The sequence below is a fragment of the Homo sapiens genome, chromosome 3 (genome assembly GCF_000001405.40).
Source record: "Homo sapiens chromosome 3, GRCh38.p14 Primary Assembly".
Taxonomy (NCBI): Eukaryota; Metazoa; Chordata; class Mammalia; order Primates; family Hominidae; genus Homo; species Homo sapiens.
Genome location: NC_000003.12, coordinates 50,447,821 through 50,466,906, shown reverse-complemented (window position 1 = coordinate 50,466,906; position 19,086 = coordinate 50,447,821). Strand labels below are relative to the sequence as shown.

The window sequence follows — 19,086 nt, the reverse complement described above, 5'->3', positions numbered from 1 at the left end:
TGCTGCCTTCAGCTTTTGCATCTTTCGGGTACAGACAGAAGATGGGGGTTGTCAGGAATCTCTGGCAGGCCCAATCCAGTGTTCCCATCAAATGGGGTATGGAGACCATGGCCGGAAGGCAGGGTCATGCCCAGGCTTTCCAGGAGTCCACCTGAGTGCAGGCGGTCAGACTGGGAAGGCAGCTAGCCCTGGTGATTCTTGGTCCCGTGATCCACTGTAGACACAGTTCCTGACCTGCTGAGGCTCATGTGAGGTGGAACATGGGCTGATCATGGTTCATGAGAGATGCGTGGTGCTGCATGGGGAATGTGAGCACACATGCCTGCACACGGAGAAGAGAATAAGTGAACCCCTGTGCGTCAGTGCTGTAAGTAACATGTGAGCGTTTGTGTGTCCATAGATGGGAGTGGTCATAGAAGGTGAGCATGTGCATGTGTGTGTGCACAAATGTGCAGTTCTGAGTGCTGCCTGTGGAGGTGTGAGCGGGCACACATTAGGGTAGGGTGGGACTGTGAGGAGGCAGGTGTGGAGAGCTCTGTCACCCGAGCAGGCGAGAACTACTTAGCTGATTAATTAGCAAAGCTGAGAAATCTCAATTGTGGGTGAGGAGCACACACACACACACACACACACATGCGCACACACACACTTCCCCCATGCATGGTGAGCATCCCCCCAGTCACTCTGTCTGACACTGCTCAGCAGCCCTGCATGGGGGCAGGCTGCCAGGTGGTTGGGGGTGCATCCTGGGGTGGGGCTGGACCAAAGATCCCTACTGTGGAGATCATAGGCCTTGTGCAAGGCAGTTCTCATCCCTAATCCAGTGCTCACAGAGGCTGGTGGTGAGGCCACCTAGGACCTTGTCCCCATTTCACAGATGAGAGAGCTGTGGCTGGTAAGGAGCAAGGAGCCAGAGCCTCATTTCCAGGTCCCGGGCCTCCTGGGGAGTGGGGGCATCCTCCAGAGTTTGCAGGCATGGTCAGGTGATTCTCCAGTGCACTTGGATCCACTGAAGAGTTACCTTCCAAAGGCAGGGGGACCTGTCTTGGTTCCTTTGGGCTTAGAGAAGAGCTAGTGTCCACCAGGGAGCTTTCTACAGTACAAGACAAACCACTCCCACTTACAACCCCTAGATGCTTGTCACAATCCAGTTTCCTCTGCATGCCTTGCAGGCAGGCCAGGGAGACCTCATCCCCTAGAAGCCTTCTTAACACCTCCCTTCACCCGATCCTAGAAAGTGAGGGTCCCCCATGCTCCCCAGCTCCCATAGCCCTGTGCGCCTCCCCATCAGCATGAATCACTGTGATTGCAGCTGCCCGTGTTTCATGTTCGTCATTTGGGCACAGCTCCTGGGACACTGATGGGATCTGTTGAACTTGTACCTGAGTCTTAGAGTCTGGGTTTGATGCTGACTCCTGGCAGGCAGACCTGCTGCCCCTCAAAGACCCCTGGCCCTGCCACTGCACTGCATCATCGTGCAGGGAGACCCGGAAGCTGGGTCAAGTGGCAGCCACTTGCCTCTTGATCAGGTGCTGACGGAGGAGCCTTCATTATGCTCCATCTACCAGTGTGGAATAAATTGGTGTGCAGTGAATTTATTCCTTCTAAAGACGGACTTTCACACCAGGGAAAACTTTTAAAAAGAACATTTATATAAAAAGCAATTACTATGCCAGTAATTTGTACGTATTCTATCTACCCCTTCCATCGCTGCCTTTGTGTTCAAATGTGGCCACCTCCCGGGCAGCTGCAGCCTGGCACCCAGCCTCCCGACTACAGCATGCCGCCTGCTGGAGTGGCCTCCTCCTCCGGGAAGGATCAGGATGGAGGGCCTAGGCCCAGCAGGAGTATGGACTCCAGGAGTACAGCTGGGTAGATTTATGTTCAGAACAGGTGCTTTGGAAATTTCCTCCCATGTGCATCTCTGTCCTGAGGTTGCTCCAGCCCCAGTCCCAGGGCTGGCACATCCTTTCTGGGCCCTTCTTGGCAGCAGCCAAGCACTTAAAGGCACCTGCTTTCCAGCAGCCTTGCAGCCCAGTTCGCTAGAGGAGGAGGCAGTGGTGTGGGAGCAGGTATTTTCCCTTCGAGGAGCCACTAACGGGCACCCTGCTTCCCCAGCCATTATTGCTCTCACACTGGATGCATTATGTAAATTGTCTCCGTTGCTAAGTGGTAGAGGAGCCACTCAGGGGAAACGAAGGAGCAGGTCTGGAGCCTTCTAGGGGCAAAGCAGACTAGGCCCTGAAAACTCATCCTCTGCATCAAGAAGGGTCTGGCCGCTTCTCCTCTTAGACTAGGACCCCTGAGGCTGGCATACTGTGTCTCCCCCTCAGACCACAGCTTTTATGTGGGCTGTGGCTTCACCCCCACAGCAGACAGGGTTTCCCAGGAGGCTGGATAGGTTCCCTCATTGAACAGGGCCACCAGATTGAGGCTTTGCTACCCACTCAGACCAGCTCCTGGGGTAGGACACATGCCCCTCTGTTGCCCAGGAAGGTCTGATTCTCCCACCTGCATGATTTTCAGCAGCAGCTGGGCACTGGAGCCCTCCAGGAATGTGCACACTCAACTCACAGCCTTAGATGCCCTAGGCAAACTAGAGAAGGTCATGTCTAGTCCCAAGCTAGTTGACCTGCCTCCTCCACAGATCCTGGAGTGCCCAAATAATCTTGGGCCACTTCTGAAGTGAGTACCCAGTAAACGTGGGATGTAGAAAGGTGAATATTTGGGGTGATCCCACATCCTGGGGTGCCAGCAGGTTCTTGGGTCGCTGGGGGGGCTTCAGTCTCAATGAGCCATGGCCTGGGCCTGGTCAAGGCCTGGGTGATGGAGGGAGTTCTCCCAGGGTACTCACCTGGCCTGCTGTCCTGCCTTTTGAGGAGCTCCCATGCTCCCTCTGCATGATCTGCAGAGGCAACCGAGCCCACCCAGGGCGTCTGGATTCAGCATCTCCCCTTCTGAGGAGCCAGGTGCGCTGGGCTTCATCCAAACTGTGTTGGACTCCTCTCAGCTGAGCTTGCCCTTGGCATGAGGTCTGCAGTGCAGGCTCACATGAGGGTCCTCCCTCCCTGGGACTCAGGGGCTCTCTCACGCCCAGCCTTCGTTCTCCCCCTGGGACAGGATGTCTGTCCCATACAAGGAGGCCACTGGGTTGAGGGCTTGCTGGTTTGTGCATTTCCTGAAAGTTACACAAAGAGTTGGGGATTCCAGGGAGGGTGTGAGAGGTGGCAAAGACATTTGCAGCCCACTCAGCCCCATTTCTCAGACAGCCCTCCTCTAACTCCTGTCCCTTCCCAGGCAGGGCTGTCTGTTGGTCAGGGTGAAATGGCACAGCTTTAAACAGAGGTGTGTACAAAGACAGTGCTTCCTTGGCTGCATAGACTCTGGGGGAGACCAGCCTGAACAACATGGCAAAACCTGTCTCTACAAAACATACAAAAATCAGCTGGGCGTGGTGGCGTGCACCTGTGGTCCCAGCCACTGGGGAGGCTGAGGTGGAAGGATTGCGTGAGCTGAGGTCGAGATTGCAATGACCTGTGATTGTGCCTCTGCACGCCAGTCTGAGTGACAGAATGAGACCTTGTTTCAAAAAAAAAAAAAAGAGAAATTTGGAGCTTCTTCCTTACCACCTGGCACTGTCCTCTAGGATGGATGGCATTATCTCTCAGATGCCTGTGGCTGCTGTCCCTCAACTTGCTTTGTGATTATTGCCAACTTTTGGGAGTGTTGGGGTGGGACCCCTGACCAGGGATCACCAATACCAATTCAGTGTTTCAGTCTAAGGAGCCTGGTCTGTGTACCCAGTTGATCAGGGAATTGAAATCTCAAACTGTCTTCATTGCAATAAGAGTAAACAGAAGTAGTGATGTCGCCTGCTGCCCTTTGACGGCCACTGTCCTGAGGCCAGAGGCTGGAGTCAAAGCAGTCAGTCCCCTGTCCCTGACTCCTCTGCCTACATTCTTCTCTCTCTATCCTTCTATCCTTCCCCTCCCAGCCTCCCTCTCTCTTTTTTTTTTCTTTTTCTTATATTTCTAGATGGATTTTTAAATTTAGGGTTTTCAAATCAGTGTTACACAGGCGCCTGGTGTAAAGTCATGGTTTTATCAGGCGAGTTGTGTTAGGAGCACAGCAGCCCCCTCCTCTCCATTTCCAGCTCCCCAGAGGCTGTCACTTTCTAATCTCTGAGCTCCATATCTCTAAATGACATACTTATGTCGCTACTTCTTGATTGTTCAGTTTTAGGCATTATCCGTGGGCATCCTGCTGCGGGAGAGGAGGGCTTTGCACCCCTCCCCCAGCCCATCCCTCGCCCTTTTGTGCATAACATGATATGGTGAGGCTCACTGTTGACATTGCCCTGACCCAGCAAATGCAATTCAGAACTGCGCCTTGCGGAAGACTTTTGGATACAATTTTTTAGTTGTTTCCTACCAGTAAAAACTGTCTCAGTTTTGTTAGTTTTATTATTATTATCATTATTATTATTATTATTATTATTATTATTATTATTATTATTATTTTGAGACAGTCTTGCTCTGCCACCCAGGCTGGAGTGCAGTGGCACCATCTCAGCTCACTGCAACCTCCACCTCCCTGGTTCAAGCAATTCTCCTGCCTGAGCCCCCCAGTAGCTGGGAATTCAGGCACGCACCACCACACCTGCCTCGTTTTTGTATTTGTAGTAGAGATGAGATTTTGCCATGTTGGCCAGGCTGGTCTCAAACTCCTGACTTCAAGTGATCCACTTCCCCTGCCTCGGCCTCCCAAAGTGCTGGAATTACAGATGTGAGCCACTGTGCCCAGCTGTTGTTAGTTTATTTGTTTAGTCTTCTGTGAACCTTTACTCACTCTGCCCCCAACTCCCCGCCACTTTATCTGACCTGGCTCTCATACACCTGGGCTTCTGTTAAATTAAATTTACCTTCCAAGAAAGTCCTGCCCAGAGCCTTCCACCTTGCTCCAGGGAAGACTGGCTGCTCTCCCAGCCTGCGGCACCAATGTGTCCCTGGGATTTCCTTTCCCCCTCTTGGGGTTGGAGTCCCCTCTTTCATGGATCCCATGGCCTCTTCCTTAGACTTCTCCCTCATTTTGGTGTAGAGAACATTTTTTCTTTCCTTCCTTCCTTCCTTTCTTTCTTTTTTTCTTTTTTTTTTTTTTTTTTGAGACTCCCCAGGCTGGAGTGCAGTGGCATGATCTCGGCTCACCGCAACCTCTGCCTCCCAGATTCAAGCGATTCTCCTGCCTCAGCCTCCTGAGTAGCTGGAATTACAGATCTGCGCCGCCACGCCCAGCTCATTTTTGTATTTTTAGTAGAGATGAGGTTTCGCTATGTTGGCCAGGCTAGTCTTAAGGCTTAAGGCTAGTCTTAAACTCATGACCTCAAGTGATCCACCTGCCTGCCTTGGCCTCCCAAAGTGCTGGGATTACAGGCATGAGCCACCACGCCCAGCTGAGAACATTTTCAGTTGGCTTCCTGAGGACAGGTACAGGGGAGCCAGACTTTGGAGACTGTCATGTCTCAGAAAGCCTTCCTTCTCCCCAACGCTCAACAGAGATTTCAGGTGGGTTGGAAGTCCAGGGTGGAAACCATTTGCCTTAGATTTTCTAAGGCAGCACTCCATTCCTTCCAGCTTCTTGAGTTGCTATGGAGAGGTCCCCAGTCATTCAGATTCCCGATCCATTGTACATGACCTGGTTTTTATCAGAAACTTGTAAATTTTCTCCCTTTGCCCAGTGTTCAGAAATTCCACACTGACCTATCTTTGTGCGGCTTTTCATTTCTTACCACTCAGTGCACACTTTCAAACTACTTGTGTCCCTCAGTTGTGGGATGTTTTCTTGAATGGTTTCTTTGACTGTTTCCTCCCTTCTCATTTCTCTGTTCTTTCTAGAAACCTTAACTCAGGCCCTGTTCTTTTTTATTTTTCTTTTGTCTCCAATATTCCATTTCTGTGTCTTTCTGTGAGAAAATCTTCTCATCAAATTTTACATTTAACCATTGCATTTTAAATTTCCAGGATGTCTTTTGGAACTTTTTTTTTTTCTTTTTTTTTGAGACGGAGTCTTGCTCTGTCACCCAGGCTGGAGTGCAGTGGCGTGATCTCGGCTCACTGCAAGCTCCGCCTTCCGGGTTCACACCATTCTCCTGCCTCAGCCCCCCGAGTAGCTGGGACTACAGGTGCCCGCCACCACGCCTGGCTAATTTTTTATATTTTTAGTAGAGACGGGGTTTCACCATGTTAGCCAGGATGGTCTCGATCTCCTGACCTTGTGATCCTCCTGTCTCGGCCTCCCAAAGTGCTGGGATTAGAGGCGTGAGCCACCACGCCCAGCCGGACCTTTTTAAGAATAATATCTTGTTCTTGTTTCATTCTTGCCACAATGTCTGTTAGTTGTCTGAGGACAGTATAGCTTTATAGATTAAAAAAAAAACTTTTTATTTTGAAATAATTTTGGATTTACAGGTAAAACAAAAAAACAAAAAAAGAATAATTTTAGATTTACAGAGAAGATGCAAAAATAGTACATAAATTCCCTAACCCTTTGTCCAGTTTCCTTTAAGTTATCGTCTTGCATAACCGTGGTATAAATATCAAAACTAAGACATCAACATTGGCACAGTATTGTAAACCAAAGTGAAGACCTTATTTGGATTTTACCAGTTTTTGCACTAATGTCCTTTTTTGGTTCCAGGATCAAATCCAAGGAACCACTTTGCATTTAGTTGTCATGTCTCCCTAGTCTCCTTTTTTTCTTTAATTTTAAAAAACAGGCTTAATTCACATTTCATGTATTTATGTATTTATTTATTTATTTAGTATTTAAAAACTCCATGTTGTAGCCACAGTTGGAACCTGCAGGGGTGTCGGGGGTTGACTCCGGATCAGGCGAGGCAGACAGGATGGGATAGTCTGGGACAGTTCCTGGTGCTGAAGAGGATGGAGGGTGGAAGCAGTGCCTGTGGGCCAGGGGATCTCTGGTGGGAGCAGGCTGCAGGGTGAGAAGGCAGAACCCCCAGGAATCAATGGGATGGTTGGGAAGCACTGCCTGCCTCTCATATTCCTTCCTCAGATGTCTGCTGACCCCTCCCCAGGAGGCAGCCAGTGAGCTGGTGGGGTGCAGCAGTGAGCAGTTCCCAGTCACCTGGGGTCAGAGGGCATGGGCTTCTCCCCTGGACTCACTCACATCCCGGGGTCCTGGTACAAGTGTACCATCAGGTTCACATTCCTGGCTGGAGTTCTGAGGGGCTCGAAGCTTTTCTGAGTTCGCACCTAGGTCCCTTGGCTCCAGGTGCTGGAGGCCTCAGGGCCCTGCTGGGGGACAGTTTTTAGACTGATGGGCTTCGGAGTCCCAGATCATCTTCCTGTGTGACACCCTGTAGTGCCAAGGGCTGAAGAGTTGGGGAGCAGGGCACCATGGGGTGGGAGGAGTGCCCTGGGCTGATGCATCCCCACCACGAGTCAGGTGAGAGAGTTGGGAAGACCCTGTCCCCAGGCCCAGCAGATTAGTAGTGAGCATTTAAAGAGAGAAAATGGACCCATCTGTGCTTCATCTATGGACAGCAGTGACACCCCAGCCTTGTGACTGAGTGAGGGGGGCAACTGCCTCCACTCCCCGTGGCCCAGGCAGAAGCACTAGGCCCCACAATCTCCTCAGGGTGACCCTGACCTTTCCCTGCCACCCATGTGTATACCTGGGTTCCCTTTTATCAAATATTCTTCTGCTAATCTCATCTCCCTGTGTGACTGCCCTGTAATTAGCTCACTTTGCAAAATATGATGTCTGTCATAGTTCCCCCTCCATGTTTTTCTTTTCCCAGGAAAGGGTAAAGAGGGAATGGGATGAAGAAAGATTTCTGGATGTGGGGCCACCTCACAGGTGAGCTCTGGCCCTGTCCCCTGCACACAGAGCCCCACATACACTAACACATGCCCCAGCTCAGCTCCAGAGCCTAGAGAGTTGATGGAGGTCGGTGGGCTGGGCCAGAAACCCGGGGAAGGGATGGCACAGGCCTGACTGAGCAGGTTCCCCAGAGAAGGTTCTCCCGGTCTTCTAGCTGGGGTTTCAGGACCTAGCCTTTGGGGTTCCCCAGCATTAACCCATTGCTGCTAGCAGTGGGCCTGCCAGGGCCTGGTAAGTCAATCACCATAGTCTGTCTGCTCCAGCTTCCAAAATGTTGTTCCTAGTGCCTCCTGCACATTTCCTTTGTTCCTGTGGGTTTTGCCATTTTGAATAGTCCTTAACTGTCGTGCCAGGGAGTTTGGGGAAAGAAAGTTCGCCAGGCACCATTGCTTTCACTTCTCTTGTAGCAGCTGAGTCCTTACTGTTTGGTTAAGTGAAATCTACGCTGGGCCCTGGACAGTGAATTGATGAACAGGGGGTTCTTTGGCTAAGTGGGTAGGCAAGCCCGGGCTGGTCTCTTACCACCCTCTCACTACACCTGACCCTCCACATGAGCCCAGAGACTCCCTGTCTACTGCCTAGGACTCCAGGGAACACAGTTTGAGAACTGCTGCCCTGTACATGGGGGTGTGTTGGGCACAGGGCTTGGCTTGGAGTTAGCAGCAGGGAGTCTCTGGGACTCGGGGAAGGTGCAGAGAGGCAGCTCAGCTAGCCTCACAGGGACACTTGAGCAGCCTGGTTCTCTCCCCGTGGCCAGGTGCCCCTCGTCCCAAGTCTCAGTTCCCCATCTGCGCAGTGGGAAGCCCTGGCAGGCCTGGCTTACGCAGCCAGCAGCGGGGAAGGGCTTTGCTGATAAAGCAAGTTCTGCCTTGGCTGACAGCGGGCCAGCTATTCCCTGGATGGCTCCCTGACCCAGCACCTTCCCTGTGCTCATAATCTAGCAGGTAGTGTTACCTGGGGCACCCATGGCTGGGGGAGGGCATTACCCTGAACCTGGCAGGTGGCTGAGGCTCATCCCTTTGGGGCAGCTCCCAAAGACTTAGCTGGTTCTGAGTGAGTCAGGGCAGGTCTCTGAGCCTCCCCAAGGCCATACCCTTACCCTCATTAGTCTGTCCACTTGGGCTGCCCTCCTCAGTCCCCATCATCACCTATTGAGATTGAGCTTCTTCTGAAGCTGAGGGAGTAGGAGGGTGGACTGTGAGAAGAATCAAACAAAAAGAAGAGCCTCAGAAATCAGGTGACCTGGGTCTTGTTTCTTCATATATAAAAGGTGGAGGGAAGTCTCTGCGCTCAGCATCATTGCTGCAAGTGATGAAACCAAGCCTCAGGTGTGTTGAGGCAGTGGCAGAGGTACGTGGGGTTGTTGGGGCAAGAGCTGGACCTGGGGCTAAAGGCTGGAGCAAGAGGCAAGGACTGGACCTGGAGACACAGCTGGACCAGAGCACCTGGGGCCAGGGATGGACTGCGGAGCCAAGGCAGAGGTTTCCAGGAGCTGCGGGGAGACATTGGCCCCTGAGAGAGGGTGAGCAGGGTGTAGCACCTTCTAGACAGTTTTTGAAAAACTCAGAGCCCAGATTATGGAGTGATATTTTGCAGGTAGCTGCTGGTTACAAGGAACGATATTTAGCAGGAAAGGAAGCCTCAGTTCCAACTTCCCTGATGGCATTTCGAGAGACTGTGTGAGCTGGACTACCTGCCAGAGCCTAGTCTGTCGTTTTTGTTTGTTTGTTTCTGTTTGTTTGTTTGTTTGTTTTTGAGACAGAGTCTTACTCTGTCACCCAGGCTGGAGTGCAGTGGTGCAATTTCGGCTCACTGCAACCTCCGCCTCCCGAGTTCAAGCAATTTTCATGCCTCTGCCTCCTGAGTAGCTGGGATTACAGGCGCGTGCCACCATGCCCAGCTAGTTTTTGTATTTTTAGTAGAGACAGGGTTTCACCATGTTAGCCAAGCTAATCTCAAACTCCTGGCCTCAAGTGATCTGCCTGCCTCAGCCTCCCAAAGTGCTGGGATTATAGGCATGAGCCTCCACACCTGGCTCCAGTTTATCATTTTATTTGGGGGCTTCATTCCACTAGTGAACTCTGAACAGACAGTACTGTCCTTGGGGGAGCCACAAGGAGTGTTATGAAGGGTGTGAAACTGGGATCAGAATCTGGGTCCTGATCTGCTCTGCCTCCTCTGACCTTTCCAGGGGTAGCCTCATATGCATGACCTTCCCCTCCCTGTCTGAATTTTCTCTTGTAAAACCAGGCGGTGGAACAGGACACTATCCGTGTTCCTAGTTCAGGCAGTTAGGCACTAAAGGAGGGCAGGTAGACAGATGCTGAGAAGTAGGACTGAGTGAGAAAGGGCAGAGTGTGTGAGGGGCAGGCCTGGGAGGGCAGCAGGGTTCCTGGTGGGTCCTAAGCAGGGATCCCTGGAGACAACGGTCGTTCTGACTGCCTCGGCCAATCTCTCGGAAAATTGAGGCCCAGAGAAGGTTGGGACAGACTCTCAGCCACCTAGCAAGCTTGAGCCAGAACACAGGATCCAGACCCTATCCCAGGCCAGTGAGTGAAAATTGTGAAGTCACAATGTTGGTCTGGCTGCGGTGGGCAAGACACATCTGTGTGATAGACCCACTCAGCTGTGAATGGAGCTGACTCCATCCTTGAAATGTGTGAGCCTCTCCCCTCCCCCACTCTACCAGCCCTTGCCTCTTCTTGCCCTGGGCAGCTTTTGTGTCTTGGGAGCCAACCAGAACTCAGGCTAGGTGCTAATTAAAAGCTACCTACCTCCTTTCTGCAGAGGCTGAGCCCCTCCATTTGCACACAGCCCTTGTCTACCATTGCTAGCCTCAGGCAAATGACTCCACTTCTCTATGCCTCAGTTTCTTCATCTGTAAAACAGGGCTAACATTTCCTGTCTTGCCTCCCTTCTGGGGTGTCACAAGGTTTAAAGGACACATGCTGTGTATATGTAGGGCTGCAGACATGAGGAGTCCTGGACGATGGGCAATAGCTGCCCTCCTCAGAGGCTGTGGGGCACTATCCTGGGATGGGTAGAAGTTGACAATGCATAGCTGGGGACAGCTTGGATGGATGGGGGCAGAACGAGGAGAGGAATGGGGGGAGCATGTGGGCCCAAGTGTCTGTTTTGCTGATTGCTCCTTTTGCTTTCAAGGAGATTAAACTATTTTTAGTCTGCGCTACTGCTGGTGAGACGCCGGAGGAAGCCTTTCCATCGCTGAGATCTTCTGGAAGCTGCCAAGTGTGGTCTTCAGCTCGATTCTGGGAGCCTCCCAGAGCAGGCGGGAGGGGTGTCACCATCTGGGGGCTGTGGGGACAGGCTGGTGTGTGCTTGCTCCCTGAGGTCCTTGTTGCGCTGGCCTCCCTGAGCCGTGTGGCCCTGGCCTGCAGAGAACAGTAATCTGATGCACCCGATGTTTGTAACGCTGTGTTTAAAAAAAGTAATTTATTTTCTAATTATTCCTTGTCTTGCATAACCGTGCATCGCCAAAGTGTCGCTATTTAAAATATTTATCTCTCCACGCCGCAGGAGCAGCTCTGGAGCGTGGAGGGAGAAGAAATAAAAGTCCATGTGCCGGTCGCAGGCATATTACTTTGACTGGTCCTGGCGGCTTTGACGTCTCCCTGTAAATACATTTATTTTTCATTAGGATGTTTCTGAGCTCGTGGCCCCCAGAGAGCGGAGTGATTATGCCGCTCATCTGTGAGAGCTGCAATAGAGAGGTGCTCAATGAGTGAGCGCCACCAAATGCCTCCGGTGCTTGTCCGCATGGGCGAGGGTCCGAGTATGTGTGGCTTGGGGTGTGTGTGTGCAGGGGGCGTACAGTGCTCAGCTGCATGTATACCAGGAGGGCATGTGGCCAGGGACTTTGGACCTTTGGTGTGATGGGGAAACCAAGGCCCAGAGAGGGCCTGTTTTGGAGTGGAATCAGCCTCACTGGCAGTGGCGGTGAGCAGCAGGCTTGTGACCTGTTCTATCCCTAGGGCCGAAGCCTTTCTTTTCAGCTGGGAAGACTTTTGGGATTGGACGCCTGGAAATGCTGGGTGGCTTCAAGGGGGGCGCCATCCAGATCCTGAAGCAGAGGGCCTACCAGTGCAGCAGGCAGTGTTCCCAGCACGCAGGGCAGGATGAGAGCTGACCCTTCCCCTTCTCTGCCTCTCCATAGGCTGTGGGTTTGAGCCATGCTGCAGAGGCTGGCCCAGGCAGTGCCCCTCCTCCAGCCACCCTGTGGAGCAGGGACTGGACTTGGCTCCTCCTTCACTAACAGGCTCTTTTCCAATCAAAAAAAAAATTTTTTTTTAGCTCACCGAGTATAAGAGAGAGTTTTATGCTGAATTTTAAAATACCTTATTTTTTCCAGTCTCTAAACTGCTAATCTCCCGGGCTGAGGGATTCTGGGACAAAGGCAAGGCCTCGAAGTGGAAATCTGTAAAATTAGCTTCAGCGGTATTAGTGTTTGCAGTTGGAGATTGAAAAATTGCTTTCCCAGGCCCTGATTGGAGGCTCCGCTCTCCTCGGGGGAGAGGCAAGGACTCGGCAGAGAGAGATGCTGGAGGCCAGGTTGGGGGTGGCTGGGGGGCTGTTGTGGGGGCCCCTCCAGGGGCCTGTGAGTGGGCCAGGGAGGGTGCGCGTCCTCTGCCCGAGTCTCCCCCATCAACGCCCAACTTCTCCGGCACTCTGCGTACACAGCGGGTGCCAAGCAAATGCTGTGGAGTCCGGCTCGGTCCCTTCCCCTTCTTTTCCTGAGGCCTCCTGGACTCGGTTCCTAGCCCCCTCCCCAGTGCTCAGACACAAGAGGGAGGAGGAGGCTTCCGGAGCCTGGCTGAGGGGCAGCTCTGGTGCCTGTGGGTGCGCCTGTGTGGCCCATCAGGCCTCTTGTGTGCTTGATTGCCTCTGATTGGCTGCAGCTGAATTCAGCAAAAGCTATTATTTGCCCTTGATGAGCCAATCAGATGGCCTCATTGGCCATTCAGAGCAGGCACCGGAACCCGGGTGTGGAGGGGGAGATGGGGCTCCGTGAGGCGGGGGCAGGGCAGAACAGATGCAGGACCCGGGCCTGGTCGTGTCCACCGTGACCTTCACACAGATCACACCTCCCTTCCCTGACCTACCACTCCAAACCGGGGCTCCCCTCCACATTAGCCTACCTCCCAGCCGTGGCCCTCACCATTCCCTCTTCCTGCAGTGCTTTGCCTTGCACATCTACCTGTCTGAAGCCCTCAAGACATCCTCCATGGAGTCCATTCCCGTCTCGCCAAGCTCCCAGAGCCTTCACCTGCCCCTCTCTCTTCCTTTGCCAGAAGTCGTGAGGATGGTGGTCAGGAAGATTCAGACAGATGGGGTGCAAATCCTGAGCAGCCCCTTCCCAATTCTAGGACGCTGGACGGGCCAGTTGCCCTCTAGAGTTTCTTTATCTGTAATGGAGAAGGTCCTAATAATCACACCTCCTTGAAAGGGGCGAGGCCTGAGTGCAGGGATCCCGGGTGTGAAGGACAGGGCTGGGGGCCTGGAAGTCCAGCCACCCCCGTGACAGGGTTTTCTTGAACTTCTGTAGGTTGGTCCAGGATTTGGCACTGGTGGGTGCACATGGGCCTGGACTGTCCGAAATCGCTCTGTCCTATTCAGGGGACATTTGGATGCGCAGGGACCAAAGCAGGTGACCTGCTGTAGGCTGTGCAGTGTATGTGCAGTACAGATGGAGAGGCTGCTAGGACTTGGGAGGTGGCACAGATGAACTCACCAGGGGGTTTAGGGAAGGCTTCCTGGAGGAAGAGGAGAGCTGAGGGGTGAGCATTTCTGGGGAAGCATGGACAAAGGCCAAGTAGTGGGAACGACTCTGGCAGGCAGCGGGGAAGAGAGGAGAGGCTGGTGTTAGGGTCTCAGTGATGTGGAGATGGGCTCATGGACTCGTTCTGGACCCAGTGAGAGAACTGAGCCTTCTCTCTGAGGTCATATTCCTGGGAAAAGACTCTGAGACTCTTAAGATTTGCACACAGGAGGCCTCTGCATCATCTTCAGACAAAGAGGAAATCCTAGATTTTAGCAGGGATGAGGGGCTACTTCTGCAGGCTCAGAGAGTTTAGTGGGGGTCAAGGTTCTTGAGTGCAGTGATTCAGATGTTCCCATCCTACAATGCAGGGCCCCACTTCTTTGCTGTCAGGGTCTTGGCCTGGCCTTGGTGTAACCAGCCTGCTGGGATTGAAACTATAACCCCCTGAGGATCTTTGACTCTTGTGATAAAGTCCTGTGCTTTTCTGCCTCTGGTTGCAGATGAGAATCATCTTATATCCTGCCAAGGGGGCTTCTCATGTTCACATTTCACCGTAAATTTGTTTTGAATCTTACTCAGTCTTGCCTTGTCTTTCTCCAAAGCATTGATAGCTCCCAGCCACAGCCATCCCATTCCATAGTTCTTATAATTACACTTCCCTGAGCCTGTCTGACACCTGAGATGTTGCACCCATTCACAGGTATCCCAAGCTGGTTCACAATGAGCAGTTACATCCATCACATGTCAGGATTGTCAGGGCTCCCCCTGCCTCCATGGAGAGGTTCTCGTCAGCACAACAATGCCCACTTTAGGGTTGGCCTTCTGGGACCACTTCTGGCACCAGCTCCGATAGGGTCCATTCCCTGGAGTCAGACTCTGAGATGGAGGTCATGTGCAGGTGTTTACTGGAGAGTACTCTTGGGAACCACACCTGTGAGGGGTGAAGGACGCAGGGTTGGGCAGCAGGAAAAGTTGGGCTGTGAGGCATTCTCAAGCCTGAGCCAATTCCACAGACAGCCCTGGAGGTGGGCTGGCCCATCAGAGCTGTCCCCATTGAGGCCAAGGGACCAGGCCTCTGTGCACCCCCACTCCACCTCTGTGACCACAGGCAGTGGAGCCACATCTGCTCGGGGTACAGCCTGGGGAGGGACTCGGATGAGAGGAGTCAGCAGGCAACACCCTTGGCAGTGAGGGGATGAGGGCCTCGTGCCGAAGGGGTAATCTGGGTGATGCAGCCCAGCATCCACATCATGAGACTTGTGCAGCTTGGACCCAGGTTCTGGTTATGCCTCTTGCCAGCGCTGAGGCCTCGGGTGAGTCACAAGAACTCTCTGAACCCAGTATCCCACCTGCAAAATGGACCATTGCCACGCCTCCACCTCCTGGGGTTGGTTAGGAGTGGGGTCTGAGGTGGGCTCTGAGACACAGTGTGAGCTTGAAGGGTGCACCTGTGGGACAGGGCCAGGTTCCAGTCACCATCCAGGTGGGAACTAGGGGGCCTCTCAGCAGGCTCCCCATCCTCTCACTGGACAGGCCCCTGGCAGCCAGGTTTGAGGAAATGGGAGACATGGGCTAAGTCTGTACCATCGATAAAACCCATGGAAGTTGTCCAAGCACTTGGTCAAGGGGCCAGGGATGAAAATAGTGGAGGGGCATGCAGAGGGTATCTGCTCAGCCTGCTCAGTGGGTTAATTAGCGTGGATGGAGGTAGGCTGGGTTCAGGGGCCTGAACTTCAGGATGACTGGTAGTGTTCAACAAAGTGTCAGGCAGCCTGGGGAGGGGCCTTAAAACAGCCCCTGGGCCGTGCGTGTTGACTCATGCCTGTAATCCCAGCACTTTGGGAGGCCGAGGTGGGCAGATCACCTGAGGTCAGGAGTTCAAGACCAGCCTGGCCAATATGGTGAAACCCATCTTTACTAAAAATACAAAAAATTAGCTGGGCATGGTGGCGCACACCTGTAATCCCAGGTACTCGGGAGGCTGAGGCAGGGGAATCGCTTGAACCCAGGGGGCAGAGGTTGCAATGAGCCGAGATCGCGCCATTGCACTCCAGCCTGGGCAACAAAAGTGAAACTCCGTCTCAAAAAAAAACAGCCCCTGGTGGGAGGGATAAAAGTGATGATGGCAGAGGCAGGGTGGCTGTCCATGGAGGGGGCACTAAGGGCCATTGGGGTGGATGAGGAGCCCCTACAGAGGTCATGGACTGGTCACTTTTGAGGCCTCTGTAGGCACAGTGGTTTTGTACACACCACAAATGAGTCCTCATTTCCAAGGGCCCCATGTAGGCGGGGAGACAGCTCAGAGGCAGGTCCCATGTCCAGGACTGGCACAGGGTCAGAGCCCCTGGGTCTTGTTGGCTAAGGACACCCGTGACATCGGCCAGTGTGGCTGGTGCGGTGGGGTGTGACGTCGGCGGGCGTCTTGCGGATGTGACTGTGGGCAGGGAGGGGAGGCCTGCCGATGGGAAGGGAAGGCTCTGAGTCAGGCATGCGCGCAGCAGGCCTGCCTTTTACAAACGATCATCAGCCTCAGTGTTCCAACAGCCTCTTTCACTCTGTAAAAGCCTTTTCTTTGGAAAAATAAAAGAAGATTGGAGGCAAGTACAATATTTGGCTGTGGCGGCTGCTAATTTGGCGCTGAATGTCACCTCCGCCTTTCTCTTCTCTGATGCCAAGTGCTCCTTTCCTGGCTCTGGTGGGCGAGAGCAGGGTGATGGGGGTGCAGGGCGGGCTCCAGAGCCTCTTAAGATTCGAGATTCATTTCCTTAAACACACATTGTCTCACTCCAATTTCACGTCCGAGCAGTTCTGGCGAGGAATTAGCAGCTCCTGGGAGAGAGTGGCGGGTTCTGTTTACACGGGGCGGGGGCAGGGTAGGGGAGGCGGTGCGGGGGTAGGTGGGGCTTGGGGCCCATTTGCACAGGAAGCCCACACAGGAACTGGGTCAGGGACTGCCTCACCTGACCCGAGGGCCCTCAAAGGGAGCCAGGCCGATCCGCTGTCAAAAGAATGTGTGAATCCTGCCCCATTTTAGATGTCCTGTGTGCATGGAAGGTGGGGCTGTATAGTGATTTTGGGGGCAAATCAAGAATATTGGGCTTTCAGGTTGGCCTAAGTCTCCACTGAGAGGACTGGTTGAGACCTGGGGGCCACCTTTAGCTTGCCCCCTTCTGTGGCTTGGGGCTCACAAACTCTGGAGGCTGCAGTTTGCTTTGAGTCAGGCTCCATGGACCCCTCCTCACATGGAGCCTCACCTCCCACTATGTCCCCTCCACAGCCCTTGTGAGCTTGGGTGGTGACAGTCCTGTCATTGTGTGGGAGAAGCAGCTCCACTTCATGGGTGAAGCCCCAGAACCCAGCCCTAGGTCTCTCTCCCACCTACTCAGTCCCTAGGGCCCGGGCTGAATGCCTGTGTCTCTGATGGGGAGTGTGGTGGGCAGTCCTGGGAGTACAGGCTCCCCCCGCCCCAGGCCACCCTCTCTTCATGGCCTCAAGGTCATTCTGAGTGTGGTGTGGCGGAGGCATCACAGGGCCACGCTTTAAGACCCTTCTTAATGGTGTCCTTTCAGGCTGACACTATTTTCATCCCTGGCCTTGATTTGGGCCTTCTTGGCTGGGCTTGTTTTTGTATGGCTTCTGAGGCTGGGTCTGCCCTTTTATGCCCTTTCTGCCTTCCCCATGCCTAAAATCCACAGTCACCCCCTAGTCCCAACCACTACCCCTGAGGAATCTCAGCAGGGCTGCGCAGCCATGGAGGTGGCATCAGGGTTGAGCCTAAGGAGTGCTATGGAGGGTGGCCCATCCCCCAGCTCTCCTGGGCGACTGCTCATGCATCACCTCCTAGAGGGGAGACCTGCTAATTTGTCAGCCCATTAGCTGGGCACGAGCAGCATATGGACCCAATTCCTGCTACCCTCTTCCTGCCCACCTCTGATAGCATCATCAGGGCTCATGGTGAGGTCCTAGGTCCAGGGTTGGATCACAGGGGTGGGGGGCTGCCATCTTGCTCCGAGGCTGAGCCCCTCAATGAGGCAGCCGAGGGTTTGTTCCTCTCTTGGCTTCAACGAATCTACCTTAGGAGTTCAGTGATGAAGCCTCTCTAAGCCACTGGCTAAGAAGGGCCCTGCTTTTAGGAAACTGGGCTTTATTTTTAGTGTTCAGAGAAAGATAATTTTTTCTCGCCCACCATCAGCAGGAAGATCAGTCGTTTTCGTGATGTTTCCAGATCCTCTTGTCTGTGGGATGGGGGTGGGCAGGAAGGATCCCTTGCCTGAGGGCTTCGCTGCGGCTCTCCCCCACATGCAGGAGGGAATCTGTGCCTCAGACTGTCTCTGTTGCAGCCTGCGCCATCAATGGGGTGTTCTCAGGGTCTGTGGGGGTAGTGGCTAGAAGCGGGCACCAGCACAGTGTGGGTGGCCTGGCTCTAGGGATGTGACCAGTGCAGGGCTCTAGTCCCTCTGAAATGGTGGGCAGAAGGGCAGGGACTGGTCTGCTTGAGGGTACCCTGGGCCTGTGCACACACACAGATGTTCCCTGAGACCTACTGTGTGCTGTACTTGAGCACAGGAGCTCAGGGCTGAGCTCAGGAACACATGCACCTTACTTTGTTCATTGCGAGCCTTCCCCCAACATGCGCCATAAACCTGGGCATATACACACCAGGATACATATGTGCATCGACACACAGGCACCAGGATATGTGAGTACCTGGAGACATACACTGGGTCATGTGCTTGGGCCTGAGGTGCCCATGGAAGCACCATCACGCTTCCTATGTGCTCACCAGTGAACATTCCTACATACATGTACAGATACACTCAGGCACACACTGGCTTCTGCATCATCTGGGTTTATGGCAGGAGATAAATTTGCAGTTTAGGAACCCTAAACCTCCCAGCATTGTAAACTCAAAGAGCTTGATAGCCAGAGCTTCCAGTCACGTTGATGACTCCACAAAGCGTAATACTATATGGGAGAGGGTTTCCCAGCCTCCTTTGCAGGGCAACCCTGCAGAGCAGAACATACCCAGGCCTAACTGGTAAAGGGGCCTGTCCAGGGAATGCCTGCCCTGTGCCAGGGAGGAGCCACATGGTTGCCACCTAGGAGCTTCAGCCTAGGGCATCTCCAGCATTCCCTAAGGGCCCTAGGGTAGGGGGAAGTGATAGCAACTCAGAGGGCTCAAGGCCCTGGGGGAGGCTAGGTTTTGTTCATGGAGGGGACGGGTAGTCCAGAGGCCAGGTTGAGGATATGGCTGGTCTGACTCTTAGCCTGTTCTGGGGCCTAAAAAGGAGGGCTCCCTGCTTAGACCTCTGTGGGGCACTTAGAAGAGCGTACCTGAGCCCTGATCCAGTCAGGGTGTGGCATTCTGGATGTGACCTTGGTTGGATTCTGGAAGAGGTCAGAGT

General features: G+C 53.4%; 1 protein-coding gene and 2 long non-coding RNA genes across 8 annotated transcripts in view, besides 4 other annotated features; 2 read left to right on the top strand and 1 right to left on the bottom strand.

Moving 5' to 3' along the window:
• CACNA2D2 (calcium voltage-gated channel auxiliary subunit alpha2delta 2) overlaps positions 1-19,086 on the top strand; it is a 141,632-nt gene that overhangs the window by 37,338 nt on the left and 85,208 nt on the right. The gene's annotated exons all lie outside the window — the stretch shown is intronic.
• Positions 1,824-2,325: an enhancer, noted in NCBI's record as "H3K4me1 hESC enhancer chr3:50502013-50502514 (GRCh37/hg19 assembly coordinates)". NCBI's record gives its function as "activates a minimal SCP1, AML or CMV promoter by ChIP-STARR-seq in primed H9 embryonic stem cells {active_cell/tissue: H9 hESC(primed)}" and the evidence as "EXISTENCE:reporter gene assay evidence [ECO:0000049][PMID:30033119]".
• Positions 6,823-7,012: a silencer, noted in NCBI's record as "fragment chr3:50497326-50497515 (GRCh37/hg19 assembly coordinates)". NCBI's record gives its function as "represses an EF-1alpha promoter that drives an FKBP-Casp9 reporter gene in an ReSE screen in HepG2 liver carcinoma cells {active_cell/tissue: HepG2}" and the evidence as "EXISTENCE:reporter gene assay evidence [ECO:0000049][PMID:32094911]".
• Positions 9,914-11,513, top strand: LOC124909378 (uncharacterized). Its single transcript, XR_007095906.1, has 2 exons — positions 9,914-10,561; positions 11,065-11,513. It is a non-coding gene; the product is annotated as an uncharacterized LOC124909378 (long non-coding RNA).
• Positions 11,337-12,629, bottom strand: LOC105377082 (uncharacterized). The gene is made up of 2 exons (XR_940832.3): positions 12,258-12,629; positions 11,337-11,534 (listed from the first exon to the last, which is right to left on the bottom strand). It is a non-coding gene; the product is annotated as an uncharacterized LOC105377082 (long non-coding RNA).
• Positions 11,605-12,159: an enhancer, noted in NCBI's record as "H3K27ac-H3K4me1 hESC enhancer chr3:50492179-50492733 (GRCh37/hg19 assembly coordinates)". NCBI's record gives its function as "activates a minimal SCP1, AML or CMV promoter by ChIP-STARR-seq in naive H9 embryonic stem cells {active_cell/tissue: H9 hESC(naive)}" and the evidence as "EXISTENCE:reporter gene assay evidence [ECO:0000049][PMID:30033119]".
• Positions 12,714-13,268: an enhancer, noted in NCBI's record as "H3K4me1 hESC enhancer chr3:50491070-50491624 (GRCh37/hg19 assembly coordinates)". NCBI's record gives its function as "activates a minimal SCP1, AML or CMV promoter by ChIP-STARR-seq in primed H9 embryonic stem cells {active_cell/tissue: H9 hESC(primed)}" and the evidence as "EXISTENCE:reporter gene assay evidence [ECO:0000049][PMID:30033119]".